Here is an 18,145-nt window from a genome sequence, read left to right on the forward strand (position 1 = left end):
TTCATTTGTTAATTCTGCAGAGATGAAAAAGACTGTCGATAAGGTACCGTGCTAGGCACTGGGAGATGATATTTAGTTAGAACCTACTATACGCCAGGTACCGTGATAAGTCAACACTTGCCTAACATTTGTGAAGTCCATAATGACAATAATAATAATAGTTCATGTTTTGTAACATTTACTATATGGCAGATAACATTTTAAATAAATAATAGTAAAATAGTATTATAAATAAATAAGTAAAATAAATAATATTTATTTATTTTATTTTATTTTACTTAGAGTTTATCTCTGTCACACAGACTGCAGTGCAGTGGCAGGATCTCTGCTCACTGCAACTTCCCAGGTTCAAGTGATTTTTGTGCCTCAGCCTTCAGAGTAGCTGGGATTATAGGCATGTGCCACCATGCCCGGCTAATTTTTGTGTTTTCAGTAGACACAGGGTTTTGCCACATTGGCCAGGCTGGTCTTGAACTCCTGGCCTCAAGTGAGCCACCCACCTTGCCCTCCCAAAGTGCTGGGATTACAGGCATGAGCCACCATGCCTGGCCATGATGAGCATTAATTCATTTAAATCTCAAAACAACCCTATAGGCAGGTATGTTATTAACCCAGAGCTTCAAGAGGTTAATTAACTGGGCCATCTACTATAAGTATGACATTGATGGATGTTAGGGATACAAAGGTGAATCCTAGCAATGGAAGCATGAGCAGCCAGTTTTTGTTTTGTTTTGTTTTGTTTTGTTTTGTTTTTTGGAGACAGGGACTGGAGTGCAGTGGTGCCATCTTGACTCACTGCAACCTCTGCCTCTCAGGATCAAGTCATCCTCCCACCACAGCCTCCAGAGTAGCGAGGGCTACAGGCACGTGCCCCTATGCCTGGCTAATCTTTCTATTTTTGTATAGATGGGGTCTCACTGTGTTGCCCAAGCTGGTCTTGAACTCCTGAGCTCAAGTGATCTTCCCACCTTGGCCTCCCAAAGTGCTGGGATTACAAGCATGAGCAACCACACCTTACCAGCTTGTTTATTCAAACTAAAGCAGTGGATGAGAGAAAAGTGGCTGCCTCTGTGAATCTGACCAGTCTTTCAGACCCATGACAAGTCATACCTCATTCAGAAGCCTGCCCGGGTAATACCATAGACTGATGCTCCTTGAAAGAGATGTCCCCAGTCACTTCTGCCACCTGATCAAAATGACTTCAGCATCCCTTGGATAACACAGGGTTGATGTTGTCTCTAATGGTTGCATGTGTGTTCATCTTGAAATGCCCAACTCATGTGGGGGCACAGCCTACACACTATACCTCTAGAGAACTTTCCAAAACGCTCAGTAGAGGATGGGCCACACAGCAGGTAATCAGTGGCTAAGCACTGAATGGAACCTGTGGGTACCTGCTCCTGTGCTAACATAGCCTGGTCTGTTTTTTCAAAGTTTGGAGAAATCAGTGCAGAAAAGAGAAATGTTGGTGCCCCAACATGGTGACAAGTCAGAAGTCTAGCATTCTGTGAGCAAATGCCAGAGGACGACGATCCACCAAACAGGGAGTTTGTAGGGAAGCCGACCTCAGTGGAACCTCAGAGTAGGACCGCGTGCTGGGTAGTCAACAGCACGTCAAGCCAGCACAAACATGTTAGCTTTGTCCTGGACTTTGCGATGTGGTGCCAGGACTGGCCCCATGACAGCCCCATCTCCATAAAAGAAGATGACCATGGTACCACACATGTCACCATAATGGAGCCCCCTAATTCTCTCCATTCCTGGGGCAGACTACCTTTTATCTAAAAAGAGGATTAGTCAAAGTTGAAAACCTCAACATTGGGTAGAAGGGAGATACCTTGCTTTCCTCCCCTGTAAAACATACAAGATAAGACCTACCTCCTAAGTGGATTATACAACCAAATATATGTTATTTTTCAGGCTGATAGCTAACACTTATTGAAGACTTACTGCACGCCTGACTCTGCTCTGCACACTTCATATGGATTAATTCATTTCATTCTCATCACAGCCCAACTAGGTAGGAACTACTATCATCTCCATGATTTATGGATGAGGAAGCTGAGGCACAGGGAGCTTAAGTAACTTGCTCAGCCAGTAGTTGGTTGAGTCAGGATTCAGATCAGGGAATCTGAGTCCAGAATATGTATTTTTACTCTGTTTGTGGAGTAAATGGGAGCCTGCATGCACAGTGACGGGCTAGGGTCCCATGCTGGGGGTTCCTAGGAACGGCAGTTGTTATTACTATTACCTTCTGTCCTGCTTCCTCTTAAGTTGGTGTCTTGCTTGGTCACCAACTGACTCCAGAACTCCTAACGTATCCACACCATACAGCTAATCATCCCACAGCAGATAATGTGGACACGCCAGATTGCTAAGGGGACAATGATGATGACTTGGACCCACAATGAGCTCCACTATTATTTCTTCCAGAGATAAACTCGGATGTGGTCCCAGAATCGCCTCCACAGAGGCAGACTCTGCTCTCATCATTGAACCAGTGTGTTGCTTCCCTTTCCATTGGTTCTGCAATATCTTCTCCAACGAGGCCAAAAGGGATCATGGCTTACCCAACTCTGGCCCCATCCCCAGTGCCATTCCCCAAGACCTCCACTCTTACAGACATTCAGGGAGTCCCTCGCAGGGTGTGTGGTTGGGCAGAGGGTCTGACAGCAGTAGGAAGCTCTTACTTGTGAAGAAAAACGATCTCCACATTGACGTCATCCCGGTCCTTGTGCAGAAAGTCCTTCAGGAAGTTGGAAACACTCTCCAGAGTGATGTGTCCGCAGACCACAATGTGCCTGAACAGGAGAGGCCAGTTAGATCAGGCCAGGCACCACGACAGGACCCTGCATCCCACCCCCTGGCAAGACAGCAGAAGCCAGGCAGCTGCAGGGGAAGCATTCATCTCCTCCCTCCGCCTCCATAAAAGCCCAGCTCCCATCCCCAGAGGGCAGTGAGGCAAAGCAGCGGTGCTAGCAGGTGCTGAGACTCCTAGACAGAAAAGCCATATGGCTTCTCACCTGATGCTGCACAAAATCCTATTAAAAGCCCAACTGTTTGGCCAAGTGGTTTTATGCATTTAACAATAAGTGACATTATGCTTGTGCTTAAATGCTGCATTATCAAGTCCCTTGCAGATTCATATCTCTCCCTTTCTGCCCACAAAGCGTCCTCCGGGGAGATTTACTGTATGAGTCTTGGTTTATGACATAGAGCTTATCAGGTAATGAGATAACAAATCTTGCTGAAACGATGATTTTGTGTGTAAGAAAGCAGACTTTTATCAGGGTGGCTAATGTGCGGCCTGACACGTTATAGGTTCTGCTGGCCATAAGCAGTAAAAAGGAAATTTTGCATTTTTCCACTATAACTCCTCCGACAATGGGGGCATGTAACACTTTACAGTAAGTGAGCATTACTCAGGGCTAAATGGGGCTGGGATGCCTATGGAATGGAAGATCATGCCAGCTGGCTGTGCGTCCCCAGAGGGCTGCTTCCTTAGGGTGCCCGGGATTTCCAGGAGAGCTAAAGGAATTTACCTCAAGATGGGGAGATGCTGGGAAGGGATGAGGCTGGAATTGCTCGCCTTGTTTGAGGGTGGTTTGGACTTCTGTTTCTGGAAGTAGTGGCTCACCCGGAAGAGATGAGCCCCACAACTGTTGAGACTGACAGTCCCTCCAACCGCTCGGGGCTCCTGGCCAATCTGACTTTGGCACCAGGCAATGTCATGGCCACTTATATGTGCCACATAATGCCCAGTCAGGAGTGAGCATTTGATGCAAGAGTCAGCCACAAGACAAAAAGCCAGGGACTGACTGTGGAGATAAAACCACTGGCTTCTAGTGAAGAGACTGTATGTAGCAAGAGGCTCGACTCCTGTCCCTGTGCCCCCCAGGCTCATAGTGACAGCATCTGAGTCTCTAGCTGCGCTCTGAGACTTGGGCAGGTGGTGAACATGCAGCATGGTAATTTCCTGGGTAAAATTTAGAATGGCCATGTCCCTTGCACTTCATAATTGCTCTGTGCACATTCCACTAAGGCAGAAAGCTCATTGGCTGGAGGTGGCTCATAATAGGAGGCAGTGATGATGGCTTATGCAATGTTCCATTAGATGCCATTATAAGAGCCTGCCCTTTCGTTGTAATTTGGTGCTTGACTAAGTATGTGAGAATAATGCAGTAAACTCATTGGTGAAAGGATAATGATGCAGAACAAAGAGTAAATCAATAATATGCACGATGCAGTTAATAATATCACCATTATAGACTGTTATTGTTACGGTGGTGCACTTAGCAATCAGGCACGCAGCGGCCACCAAGGTGAGGGAAGAGTGTCAATGAGCTACTTCAGAAGAGATGTCTTAACATGATCACTTTGCTCTCCTGCTAGGTTGATGAAGGTCCCTTAGCCACCCACCCAAATTTTATGCCCAAAGCCCATATGACTAACCCCCTCATTAGTATATGGTGAGTAGTATGAGGCTAAGACAGTGTGACACACAGTGTATCAGAATACACAATATAGATTGAACATTTGGATGATATGCATTTTATCATATATTTTAAAATGTTTCTTGTGGCACATGTACATTTACATGGACAAAATACTTCAAATAAATTTGCACGTTCTGAATAAGATTTCAGACTTTGAATTTGCCAAATATGTTTGAAGTGAATGAGAAACAGAATTCCCCTACTGACCTAACTTCCTTGCAACTGACAATAGGGCTACTTTGCCATTCTAACATCCTCTGCACATAGACTTCCAAGATTAGGAGCAAAGCCAACATGAATCCAATGCGTGGGTATCTCCACAGGACAGATACGTGGCTGAGGCTGTTCTCATCACTTAGATGTGAAAGTAAGCCAGATGTGATTCCCTGCTCTGCGACCAAGGGTGTGGGCAAAGTATTTATTCCCATTCAGTGCAGGAGGAAGCTGAGAGGTTAATACCACCCAGCCGGCCTCCTGTGCCAGGCATTGTAAAGTTCGAAGTTCTATACCAGCATAAGCCTGGTTATTACTCAAAGCTAGGCTCAAATCAATGATAGGTCTGGGGAAATGCCTGAACATTCGTTCTTCCTACCCAGCATGCAAAGAACTGAATGAACATCAGCCAGCATCTCCTCCTCCTCTCTGAAATCATTCATCCCTAGGAAAGATGTGTGAGAAGTGCAAGGGGAAAAGATGAGTTCCCCCCTCTCACCCTTGAATCAAAAGCTCAGCTGGCTGATTTATTCAGCCTTAGAAAAAGTCAGGGTTCTCTTCCTTGAAAATGTACTGGGTACATATAAAATATATTCCAATGCAATCAATATTATCCCTTAAGCCTTTAATTAACTTTCACTTCTCTTAAGAAGTAGACAAATGCTGGCAAGAGTGAGGAGAAAAAAAGGATTGACTTTTTTCATTTGGTGCTAGCTATCCAATACCATTCTAGACAATTGAAAATATATATCTTTTAGCCACAGCATGATTTCTGGGGTGGAGAGCTGTCTTTATCAAAAAAGGAAGAAAAAAAACCTTCCTTCAACGTAATTGGTATTTTTGCTCAGAAAAAAAGCGAGATTGATTGAAAGCAGATTGCCTTTTTGCCCAAGGAGAGTTATTAGGTACATTATCATGGCAACCTTGGAGAACCCATATTGTTCCAATCTGTCCTATATCTGATTTGAAGATTTATGGCCTCCCCCTTTTGTGCCAATAATCATTTCCCTCCATTTTGTTTTCCATACAGTGAAAGTTATCAAGGAGCCCACATATTGAAAATGTTTGAATGCAGTTAGAATTGATGGATGGGGAGAAGCTGCCTCTAACTCAGCAATCGGTATTAGGAGATCTGCTTCCGCCAGCCTGTGTCTGAGGAGGGCCCTGCAAGAGCATGAGGGATGGATGGTGAATGGGGAACATTTATTTACCAGAAATATTTTCAAGACTTTTGAAGATTCTAGGGCCATAGTTTGGGGAAGGATATTATTGCAGGAAGAAGAGAACTAGAATTTATTGCATCCTCAATTATTAGAGATATCAACACAAATATGTTAAGATAGACAGCAGGGTGTGACCTCATTGGAGGCAGAGTAATGGTTGTTCACAGGGCATGATTTGAAGAATGCCAAAAAAGATCCCCATCCAAAGTTATCTCTGTTGGGTTCCATGATGCCTACATATCTACCATGTGAGATTCATACTCTGATAGCCCTGTGTTAACTCAGCTCAGACACTAAATAACTAAATAGTCTTGGACAATGTACCAATTTTGCATTTTACAATTAAAAAGCCAGAGCCTTTGAGGGGCCAGAGCTGGTGCCTGATTCATGAAGTTATCCTGATATCTAAGGAGATGATACATGGAAGGGCCAAGTAATCTGCTCCATGGTAAGCACTATGAAATGGTAAGTGCCATATGGTATCTGTAAATTAGGATGTAACCAATATAAAGTATTCTGTGGCCTATGCAATCCCACCTAATCCTTCAACAACCCTGTGTTCTCACTGCCTGAGTCTTTTCAGGTAACCTCTCTGAAACTCTTTCCTTAAGTCATATATGCCTGGCATCCCACAGCAAGTAAAAGTGACTTGCCCAGGATGCAATCTGGGTCTCCCACTTCAGTTCCCACTAAGATGAAGGTGGTGGTGGAAAGGAAAGAGGCTTGTATATCTCAGCTTCTGCTCCTTCAGGGCAAGCAGAAATGGACCCACAGAGGTCCTCCTGGATACATGGTGGAGGGGGTGTTGGAGGGGTCCTCCACTGGCCAAGGGAGAGGTTTAGTCTGGGAACTGGAGTGGATAAACCATCACAGTTTTGCAAGATCACTAGAGTCTGGCTGGATAGGCAGTATCATGATAGTCTTAGCAAAGTCTGATTACAGGCAGAAATCATAAGTTCCACCGGTCAGGAACTCTAAGCCAAACTTAACTGAAGCCATATGATTGGAGCAAGCTAAGGGGCTGCAAAGTGATGCAAATGTCCATTTTATTTTATATTATATTTTATTTATTTTTTAGAGACAGGGTATTGCTCTGTTGCCCAGGCTGGAGTACAGTGGCTCAATCAGAGGTAATTGCAGCCTTGAACTCCCAGGCTGAAGCGATCCTCCTGTCTTAACTTCCTGGGTAGCTGGGACTATAGGCATGCCACCACAGCTGGCTAATTTTCTTTTGGTTTTTGTAGAGATAGGTTCTTGCTATGTTGCCCAGGCTGGTCATGAACTCCCAACCTCAAGTGATCTGCTCACCTTGGCCCCCAAAGTGCTGAGATTACAGGCATGAGCCACCGCGCCCTACCCCAAATGTCTATTTTAGACATGTCATGTACAGCTCAGGACTTCCTCACCAGCCTGGAATCTAGAAGATAATAAGAATCTTAATGATCCATTTACAATGGGGAATATTTAGGAAAGTTCAGCTATGAGAGTAGCTAAATCTCTCCCCATCTGTGGATGTGGATCTGAACTTTCTTAGACCATCAGCGATTGTCCTGACCAATTTCTATAGGGCCTGACCACTCAATTTGTGAAGATGACCAATAGTCCTCAATCAATAACCATTTCTGATCTGATGAAGTTTTTGGTTTTAAATGCTAGGTCTGGATCTGTAAACAAATATTTCTTGGGCAAAGGTAACATAAAATAGATATAAGCTGACAGGTCATGGCTTAGAATAAAAGATCCACCTCAGAAACACAAGGAAGCATCTTCAATGCCAAAATAGTATCCAACGGCACTTTCTGGAGAGGAATTATTCATCCAGTGTGAGCAAGTAGTGCCTGGTGCTGGGTCAGGGCTCCATAAATATGGGCTGGTTTAACTGAAAAGGGCAGTGCGGTGGGTCACGGCATTGGAGGGGTAAGAATGACTTCATGAGAAGAAGTTTGATGATTATGAACACTATTGAGGGTCACCATAAATTCGCCAGTTGCTTATTTCATGTGCATATCTTCACTAAATATACATGGGTGTGCTTCTCCTGCCATTTAAGCATCGCTGCCTCCAGAATGAAATCCCACAAATTCTTCTCAATCCTTCTACTCTCTTCTCAGTGATGGGCCAGGAAAGCCTGCATGCCCAAGTTGAGCCAGAACTTCAGTTTCAGAGCTCAATTCCACAGGTACACAGGACAACCTAGGGGAAGTGACTTAAGGCAGAAGGCAGAAGAGGACAGGAGGGCAGTGACTGAGGCATCAAGAGAGCCACTGAAGATGACTTTTAGGTCTATGACAAGGAAAATCTACATACTTTTCCCAAGCCTCAGATACTGGTTGTTAGAGCCAGTAGCCTTTGAAAAGGGAAACTGTGACCATGGAATAGTCACCATTGGGCCCCCTCCCACGTTCTTAAGTTTATCTCAGCATCTGAATGAATAGCCCTTGGCAATTGTTTAATCTAGCACCTTTCTTCTCTTTGATGTGGAAACAGGTTGCAAGATGAGTGCCAGATCCAGAGCACAACACCTCCCTCAGTTTCATGCCTTCTGATGAAAGAAAGCAGCTGGTGCCAGGGAGGATAACCTAAGCTGGGAATTGGGAGACTGGGGGGCGAGTTCTCAGTGACCTGGGGCCAGTCACTAAAATGAAGAGGCCCAGGCTGACTGGGCTGCACCCACCAGACACTGATGAATCCTCACACAGGGCTCCAGTTCTCTGTCCGACCTTAGTTCACACCTCCATCATACCTTATCTAGACATCTGCAATCGCTTCCTAACTGATTTCCCTATTTACTGTCCCCACTGCCCCCAACCATTCCCACACTCCCTCAAAAAAGCCAAAGAGAAGGGATGGCAGCAAATCCTACTGCGATCAGGTTCTGCGAGGGCGGGGAGGCCTTAGATCTTTCTTTAGCAGAGCCTCGCTCTAGGAAGACAATGTAAAATGCACAGCTCTGGGCTGTTTATTTTTAAAGATACTATATCCATTTTTACTGGAACGAGTATAAAGAACTTAAAAAACCCAGAGCTATCTTGTCACAATAAATCAGACAGAGTAAATTGAAAATCCTATACAGCTTTGCCTGAATACATTGTGCTCACTTTGTCAAAGAGGTAGATGAAATGTGGCACATATTGATCTAGATGTCTCTGTAAAACTATAATATTTATATCAAATACATATGCTAGACTCTCTGTCTTTCTGCTGAGCCTTCTAATTGTGTTTTCCTCGTCCTGCTCCTCCCAAAATGCATCTCACCATTGGTAGCCCCTGACATGATGGGAATGAATTTTAAGAAGTACTTCTCAAGAGAACCAGCAGCACTGTATCATACAGGAAGCAGGGCGTGGGGGGTTAGAGACCCAACGACCTAAACCACACAGTGGTCAGCACCAAAGCTTCACGTTTGCCCCCCTAGGTTGACCTTGAACCCTTGGTGTCTGCATCACCACCTCTCCATGACACTCCTGCAAGCTGGCCTTTCCTTTCCTTCTCACCTGGTAGTGCTTTTCTTGGCTACTTAGTCTTAATGCAGGTTTCCCTGATTTGGGGCATGTCCTTCAGGGTTACTGTTTCCCAGCGCTTCCCTTGAGGCTCAATCCCCCACTGCCAAAAAATAAGACTAATCCAACTCCCACCTTCCCACTTCCTCCTTTACTGAATGTCTCAAAGAGACTGACTTCAGTAAAGATAGGGGAGACATCATGGGCAAATGAAGCCTAACTCCAGGCTGTGCTGCCTCATCCCTCCACCCTACCCCAGGACCTGGCTTGGAACCCCCAAAACTTGCTGGGCTTTCAGGAACTATTTGTTAACTGATGGATTGGTTGACAAAGTATGCATCTTGGAGACTCTATCCCATGGTAAGTGCAGAAAAAAGTTAACAGGTAGTTCACTGCAAGCCTTTTAGACCATAGGCTTATTCCACCACCCTGAATCTACTAGCATATTTCAAGTTTGTAAGGGATCTGTACACATAAAGAAAAATAAAAACAAAGCAAATGAGAGTGTGTATCAGTCCCACAACCCCAAACCCTGACTATCACCATTTCCTGTTAAAATAATTTTTTTAAAAAAAAGGAGGTTCAGCAATAAGATAATTTCCTATCCATGGACACATCTAGTACTTTGCTAATCACAAAGGAAGGAAATGCATTCTCCCTCCTAGTGAGGAAGTGAATAAAGTAATCTTCTTCTCCAGCTGTCAATGGAGCTGTTCTGGATGTGGCAGGCTGTGCTGCTGTTTCCCTAAATGGGGCAGAAGTCTGAGCAAATAGATCCCAACAGTGCAGCAAAGGCACCTCTAAAGCAGAGCCCCAAGGTCAGAGGACAGACAACTGGCAGCCCCAGTGGGGAATACCGGGATGTCCCACCTGGGCCAAAACTTTGCATCTTATCGCATGCAGACAGTCAGAACCTCAGCTACCCTAGAGGGATCTGTGTCTACACCTCCACCATCCCAAATCACAGTTAGACCTCCATAATTAGACCGTGGTGAGAAATGATCACACATATTTTGTAGCTTGTAGCCTACATGGAGCCTCAGTCCAAGTCTTTAAATTCTGAGAAACTCAGTGCCGGGGACATTGGTAGATTTTGCCTGTCCTGCATACACCCTCTCTTCTGTGGACAGCACCTCATTTTAATTTGGGGAATTGCTCCTCCCCAAATTAAATACAGTCTCCCAATTATATACAGTCTTGGGACCTTTAGTGAAGGTTTTCTGCCCAAGTGAGGCCAATGGGTACTCTTAAATCTTGGATGGGCTGATGCTAATCACAGTGGGAGTTGATTCAACCTGATGACAAAACCCTGTAATGACTACTCCCGAGTTTCCACTTCCTCAGTGTCAGAGCTGCATCTCTGGTTCTTTTCTGTCCTTTCTGGGATCTTGCTCTTCAGTTTTTCATTGGAATCTCTAAGGTACCCTAACCTTTAAAAAAAAAAAACAAAAAACTTTTCTTCTTAAGTCAGCAAAAAAATAAGTTTCTGTTGCCTGCAACCAGAGAATCCTAACTGGTAGACTTGTTTACCTTTACTTTGGTTTCTCACCTAATTCTCACTGTTACCTAGTATGCAAGTATTACCACCATTTAGGTTTCTTTCTCTCTCCTTTCCTTTCTTTCCTTCCTTCCTCTCTGGAAGGGGAATTCTGCAGCTTTCTTCAGTAAGCAATTCCACAGTTGCTGAACCCTCACAAACTGCACTGATTCCTCCTATGCCTCCCTCCCCAACACCCTCACCCCTCTGCATCTTATTCATCCCATTACTTTGGGCTTGGTGGCCTTTGGCCATTTTAAAATAAGCAAGTCTTCCCTTGACCTGAATCTCCCAATGCTAGATGGTTCTCTGCTCTTACAGAGAAATCAGGGAGCTGAATGGCACTTTCCTTTTTTCAGATCAAAGCAGATTTGCCCGATTTCATTTTTAATGCTGCTTCTGTACAAGCAGAGACTGAGAGAAGACTAAGGCAGGCAAAGGTCAGCCTCACTCTTCAGGGATGAAGGTGGAATAGAGGGAGAATGAGTCCAAGCAAAGAAATGGCTCTGAATTTTGCCCAGGAGAGGGTTTTGATTTACAAAGCGAGCCCCACCTCCCTCCCTAACACCCCTGGTGAATCATGTATCATGGTCCTTGAGCACATACTGTTGGGACTGACCCTCCCATAATGACAACCAACTTGACATATCTTTGCCTTGTTCTCCAGCCACACCCAACGGTGTTGCCACAGCTAGCATAAGCTGCTAGCCATTCACTCTGTAGACTCAACATACTTGCATAGGCCCCAGCAGACCTCCAGCATCTGTTAGTCACACAGGGACTGGAAGGAGCTACAGGTTAGAAGGCTGGCGGATCACCTGCGGTCAGGAGTTCGAGACCAGCCTGACCAACATAGAGAAACCCCGTCTCTACTAAAAATACAAAATTAGCTGGGCATGGTGGCGTACGCCTGTAATCCCAGCTACTCGAGGGGCTGAGGCAGGAGAATTGCTTGAATCTGGGAGGTGGAGGTTGTGGTGAGCCAAGATTGCGCCATTGCACTCCAGCCTGGGCAACAAGAGCAAAACTCCATCTCAAAAAAAAAAAAAAAGAAAAGGAAAAAAGTAAAAAGAAGGCATGATACGAGGCATGACAGGCCACAGCAGGACCTTTGTGGGGTCTGGAAAGGAGTGGACCTCAGGATCACATCAGCGGATTCCCAACCCTCCCAAATCTTTCTGCACCCCTCTTTTACTGGGTCTGTAAGCTTTTAGGTGAACAAGGCAATCTGCTATTACCTATGCTCTCCACTGTTCAATGGGTATGTTCAACAACGTGAATTATCAAATGCTTTTGGGAGGCTTCCCTCTAATGTCTCTTGCTTTCATGATTATTGTACACTTCCATGATTTCAATGAATAAAATTCCTGAAAAAAGAGCATTTCACTGGGAAGACGCTCCTGCATACTCAAGCTTCTGTTTCACTGCCACTGTTTCCTTGGGTGGTACTGATTGGTCAGAATCTCAGATAAGCTCCAGGAGAGCAAGAACCACATTTTACCCACAGCACATGGTGGGGATTCAAATTATTGTTTGTTGAGCCAATATGTTAGAATGGGAGTTTTCCTAAGGCTGTTCTATACACTAGCTGACATTTGCCTTTGGAGTCAATGGCTAAGGTCATATAAGCTCCCACTGAGATGGGCACATATCTATCTCTGAACTGCCCCCATGTCCTCTTGTTAGAAAGGTACAAGGAGGGGAGATAGATTACTTTTCCAGCAACTGGTACCCATATTTGGAACAGTCCCTGTGGTTCTGGGGGTGACAGCAGGCCATTGTGATGCAACACCAGTACTGGCTGTGGAGACTGGAACCCTTGGGACAAGAGAATCAGATTTCCACAACTCTCACAATGTATTGACCTCTATAATGTTTTAATAAAAAGAGACACTGGACTTGGCCAGTTAGAAAGTTTCCTGGTTTAGTTTCATAGTATGATGACAGCAGCATGGAAGGAACCCCAAAGCTACCAGGAACCATTTTGCACAGCTCTGGAAAGAAGTCCAGCAGAGTGAATGACATGGTACGAAGACAGAAAACAGGGGGCAACCTAGTCTGGATGGCTGCAATTGTTCCTGAGATTCTGAATCTACCCGGCAAGGATTCACCCAATCAAAGGAGCCATTGATCAGAATCTTCAGCAATTATAATTTGAGAAATCATATTCGAATTATTTTTTAATGGAAGAAAGAATATTTGAGAGTGAAAATCTAGGCTTGAATACGACTTTTTTTTTAAGGTACACAGTTCATCTCCCACCTACATTTCTATTCTTGTTTTCAGAACAATAGCTGGAACATTTTGCTAAGTGTGTGGAAGGGAAGAGTGACAGCAGGAAAGGAGGGGAGCTTCATTCTATCAGTATTATCAGGAAATTGATTTAATATGCTTCCAAGTCTCTTTAAATAGAGCTTCAAGTTTGAAAGGGACTGAAGATATGGCTTAGAGGAATCCAAAACAGATGCCAAGAAAGAAGTGCCCATGTCCCACGCCCACCAAGACCCCTCTCATCAGGAAGGGATACCTAGCACATCACATCAGAAGACATGGCATCTAATGACAAGCGCTTTGGGTATCTACCCCTCAGCACCACGTTTCAGAAGTAGTCAAGAGGTCATTTTTCCAAAGTATTAGGGCAAGCTCATTTTTTGTTTTCCCTGTTCCCAAGAAGTTTAATGCTAATCAAAGCAGAATGCCTAATCAGTCCAAGATGTTCTGTCAACTTGAATTATCTATTTGTCTTCTTATTTACTGTATCTGTCTGTCTACAGTTCTTCATATCTTTATAAAGATCGGTTATTGGGGCCTGTGTTTCCTTCTGACTAGAATCGCTACCAGATGATCCTTCCTGGTGATATGTTGATGATTTGCTAATTTATGGCTTTTAAAATCTAGGAATCCAAAGACATTGCTGAGGGGTTCAGGCTGGGGAAGTCACGTGGCTCATGCAATGAGGGCTGAATGGCTACTTGATGAGGGATCTAAGTCTGTGTAGGATGCAAAGCTTCAGTCACATTTCGACCAGAGCCATGTCTGCAATAGAGAAATCGTAAATGACATTTTATAGGAAACACCCCTCATGAGAGCAGTCCGCCCCTTGCAGGCGAGGAAAAGTGAGAATAGCTGTTGCCCAAGACACAAGTAAACATGGAAAGAAAAGGCCTGTGGATCGGCCCAAGTCAGTATAACATGAAATCATCTCAAATCCGATTCCCAAGTGCTAGAGGCCATGCCTTCCCAGAAAGAGTCGAGAGGGAAATGGTGTTGTAGCAAGACTCTCTCAGAACCAAGAGAAGAGGTTTCAATAAGCCCTGATATTGGACTTCCCAACCACTTAGGTGGCCAAATAGTACGATGTGTAGCTCAGAAAAGCTGTGGTATAGTTGGAGATTTTTATGGATGTGTAGAAATGCATCTGTCCCCAGTGCCTGGTAGCAAGCCCTCAGTAAACACATGTGGAATGGATGGACATGAAGGCATGACTCGTGTTAATTCCTTTAAGGTAGGGTAGGCTATGGGGCCATAGATTAAATGAGTCTTTGTAAATAAATGATCCATGCTCTGGCACACTAGACAATTTAAAATTCCAAATCCTTTAGAAATCAGTCTAGAACCCTGGTGGACAAGACATGAGTGTGGTGGAGGAAATGGAGTGGAATTCCACGTTGATACAAGACAGCCAGGCAGGAGGGAATAGTGTGCGCTCTCAGGAAGGAACAAAGGTTCTGAGTGAGAAGGAGAGTCCAAATTCTGATATAAGGAAAGACACAGAGTTTAAAAATAACCCAATAATCAGGAAGCAGGGAAGATACGCAGGATGCCATCTCCCGATAAGTCAAGCAAGCACTGCTCAGGCAGGTTGGGGTCTGAGCGAGCAATCAGTTTTTAAGACTTCCTCTAGTGGAGGTAGAACTGAAGACCTATGTTTGCAAGTGGGGCTTGCATAACCTGGATTTTAAAAGCAAGAGTGTTAGCTCCCCCAGCTTAGTGGGTAATGCAAGCTGGGTCAAGGTCATTGAACAAGCGTTAGTTAGCATCTCCTCCTCTGAGGTGTCGCTTCCTTGGACTACTTTATCCAGTGTAACTAATCCCTGTTTTTCTCAGTTGCAGAATCTTAGTCTTTTCTGGTTTTGCAGCACACATTAAAAATGTGTAATTGGCATTTGCTTTAGTTGTACCCTTGCTCAGTGCTTGCAACCTCCTTGAGACTGTAAACTCCAGGAGGACAGGTTCCGAGGGTAGTTTGTTCGCCAATGAACCCTGAGCACCCAACAAAACCCAGCATCATGCCTGATGCATAACACAGAGAATGCCTGCCTGCCGAGTGAGTGAATGAACCGATGGAGAGGGGCCACAGGAATGGACAGTGAGGCAGGTCACTAACTGTGCTGGGCTGTTTTTAGTTCTTGAATTTTGTTCTCAACTATTGAATACTCAATTATTTCTTCTAAAGTATGGAATCCTCTTTAAAATATGAGCATTTACAATAAAGAAGATAATTAAGTACTCTAGTTTCATATTTAAATAGAAAAGCATGACAAACTGTCCCCATCTCTCTGAATGTAAGGCTCTTTCCAATGTGGAGACCACATCCGAGGTTGAAGGCAGACAGCCCTAACTCCCTCCAGCGGGATACAGGCTCCTGAGGGTGAATATTCCAAGTCAAAGCTATGAAACAAACACACAGAATGCACCCTGCAGAACTGGTCACGTGGGGCTCTACTGTGCCTTTCACTGATAAGGAAGAAACCACCTCCAGATACTGCTCTGTGCTGTGCGGCAGACTAACTAAGGAGTGAAAGGGAACAGGTGGTTCCATCTGCAAGGGTATAGAAGGCTCTGCAGGTGAGATCTGCCCAGCAGGGAAGTCCAAGTTTAGCAGATCACTACAATTCTCCATGGAACTACCTTTAAAGGATGGAGCCAGGAAGGGGAAGAAAATGTTGAAATCCACAAAAAAGGCACAATTCTCACTTTAGGTGTGGTTCATCTGTCTGTCCTTGAGAGCCTTTCATTGCTAGAAGTGTTCAAGAGGGAATTAGAATTCTAGTCTAACCAAATGGGAAAAATAAAGGAAGGAATGGTTTTGTCCCCTCTCCATCTTTTTCCCCTCAATCCTGGGGCCAGGACCCTTAGGGGTAGTGGGTGGGCAGGAGGGGAGAGGAGACAGCCCCAAAGTGAAGCTCATGCCTTTCTCTTCCTCTCCATCATGAGCACGGTACTCTGGCTCCCCTTATACGGAAAGGTGGAGGAAGATACAAACAATAGGAGATCACTGAGTTTAGAGCAGAATGGAGTCTCAAGAGATGACATGGAGAGGCAGCAGGACGCAGGGAAGCAGGCTGTCCAGGTTCAAACCCCAGCCCAACTCTTTACTAGCTGCGTGATGTCAGGCAAGTTACTTAACCTCCCTGTTCCTCAGTTTCTTCACTCATTCCAAATGGAGATGATGGTAATACCTTTCTCACAGGATCAATGTGAGGATTCTGAAATATGCAAATATTTGTAGGTATTACTATTGCCAGAGAAGGCAGTCCTGGGGCTTTAGGCTGCACTGATTCACATTCTCATTTCAGGAAGTGTGTGGCACTCCTGTCTCTATAGGCAAATGTTCCAAGAGAAGCCACAGCATTTAAGTTTCACAGGCAGCTTTCTTGAATTGGAGCAAGAGACGGGTTAGTCCATGACAACTATTCCCCAAACCAGAATGGCGGCTCAGCAGCTTCATCCTGAGGACCTTCCTTCAAGTTAATTACACTCACTTTCCTCTCCCACCTTGGCTACATCTAGTCTTTCATGACTCATTCCCCTCTCGTGTGCCCTGTCAGCATTTGGCTACCAGGAATCAGTAGAATAATCCAAACCCATCCCATTCTCTCTGTCCCAAACACCTGGGCCTAGGATTGCCTCAAACTTGAGTCACTCAAGTCCCAACATGGGAAACACAAGGTCTGGGTGGCTCCCGGCTGGACTCCCTCTAACAAGGGGGTTACAGCAGATGGATTCCTCTCTGTGACTGATTATTTTCCATGGCCCTTGGCCATGTGACCTTGGACCACGATCTTGTCAGTTCTCATAAACTAACCAGGAGTGGAATGAATCACACTCAGGGAGGAGACCTCTGGGGGAAACTGCAAGGGGCTGTGAGAGGGAGGAGAGAGCTGGGGATCCCAAAGGCCATGGGAGCGTCACCAGCCCTCAGGCCTTCCCTGTCTCTAAGCAGCTTTGACCTTACACAAAGGAAAGGAGGAGGAGGCAGTGGCCTTGGGAGGCAGGCTGGGCTGCAGGAGGGCTCCCTTATGAATAAGATTTAGGGTATCAGCCCAAGAGCCCAGAGAGCTCTAATCCCTCCAACTCAGAGAGATTACCTGCCTCAGCTACTCACTGAACCCTTGGTTGTGGACACCCAAACCCCTATTCTTAGATGCTCCAATCCATCATAACATACATGAAATAGCCAACACACACGCACATGTGCACAATTACCCATACCTACTGCAGGGACTGGGTATCCTTCAGGAGGTGATGAAAATGTTGGGTAAGGCACTCTAGGCCCTTGAAATAGTGTTGATGGTGAAGAGGCTTTGAGAATGCTACTTGAAATGTTTATATTATGCCAAACACATTGATTAAAACTGAAAATGAAATGCCAATGAAATCTTCATATTCTCAAATATCCTGAATTTGGGTGTTGTACAAACAAAACCCTGATCTTCTCTGCCTAAATTTTGTACTTTAAATAATCTTTGAATTTCAAAGTTTTATGTCTCTGTAGCTTTAGATCATGAGTTACCTTGAGTTCTCTGACAAGTTAATATATTGTTAGAGAAATCATTTCTGAATAAAATATGCACAAGTAAACAAATCCCTTAACTATGTATACATTCTAATTTCTTTCTGGGCATTTATTTGATTGGGTCCTGGGGAGCAGAGAACATGTATGTGTGTGTCCATGGGCAGAGCACATGGACTTATGCATACACAAAAACTCAGAGCACAGCACACTGTTTTAAGAGTCTGAACTTTATCTTTCAACAAAGTTTAGCTGCTTTCCTTTTGCAAATGCATTTAATTTTATCTGGAAACTTTTTGACGTTAGAAATAGAACAACTGTAGTTTCTCATTATGTTTGCTGCCAGAATCCATGCTTGGTTGCTCAACTAAAGACCTTAT

General features: G+C 44.6%; 1 protein-coding gene across 56 annotated transcripts in view, besides 1 other annotated feature; it reads right to left on the bottom strand.

The window, feature by feature from the left end:
* Positions 1 to 18,145, bottom strand: part of KCNMA1 (potassium calcium-activated channel subfamily M alpha 1) — a 768,207-nt gene that overhangs the window by 218,108 nt on the left and 531,954 nt on the right. For all 56 annotated transcript variants that reach the window (NM_001271518.2, XM_017016222.3, XM_024447990.2 and 53 more), the window contains one exon: positions 2,691 to 2,801. In NM_001271518.2, the coding sequence (NP_001258447.1) occupies positions 2,691 to 2,801 (111 nt within the window). The remainder of the gene's footprint in view (positions 1 to 2,690; positions 2,802 to 18,145) is intronic.
* Positions 9,488 to 9,675: a silencer, noted in NCBI's record as "fragment chr10:78856955-78857142 (GRCh37/hg19 assembly coordinates)". NCBI's record gives its function as "represses an EF-1alpha promoter that drives an FKBP-Casp9 reporter gene in an ReSE screen in HepG2 liver carcinoma cells {active_cell/tissue: HepG2}" and the evidence as "EXISTENCE:reporter gene assay evidence [ECO:0000049][PMID:32094911]".

Source organism: Homo sapiens, chromosome 10 (assembly GCF_000001405.40).
Source record: "Homo sapiens chromosome 10, GRCh38.p14 Primary Assembly".
NCBI classification, from domain to species: Eukaryota; Metazoa; Chordata; class Mammalia; order Primates; family Hominidae; genus Homo; species Homo sapiens.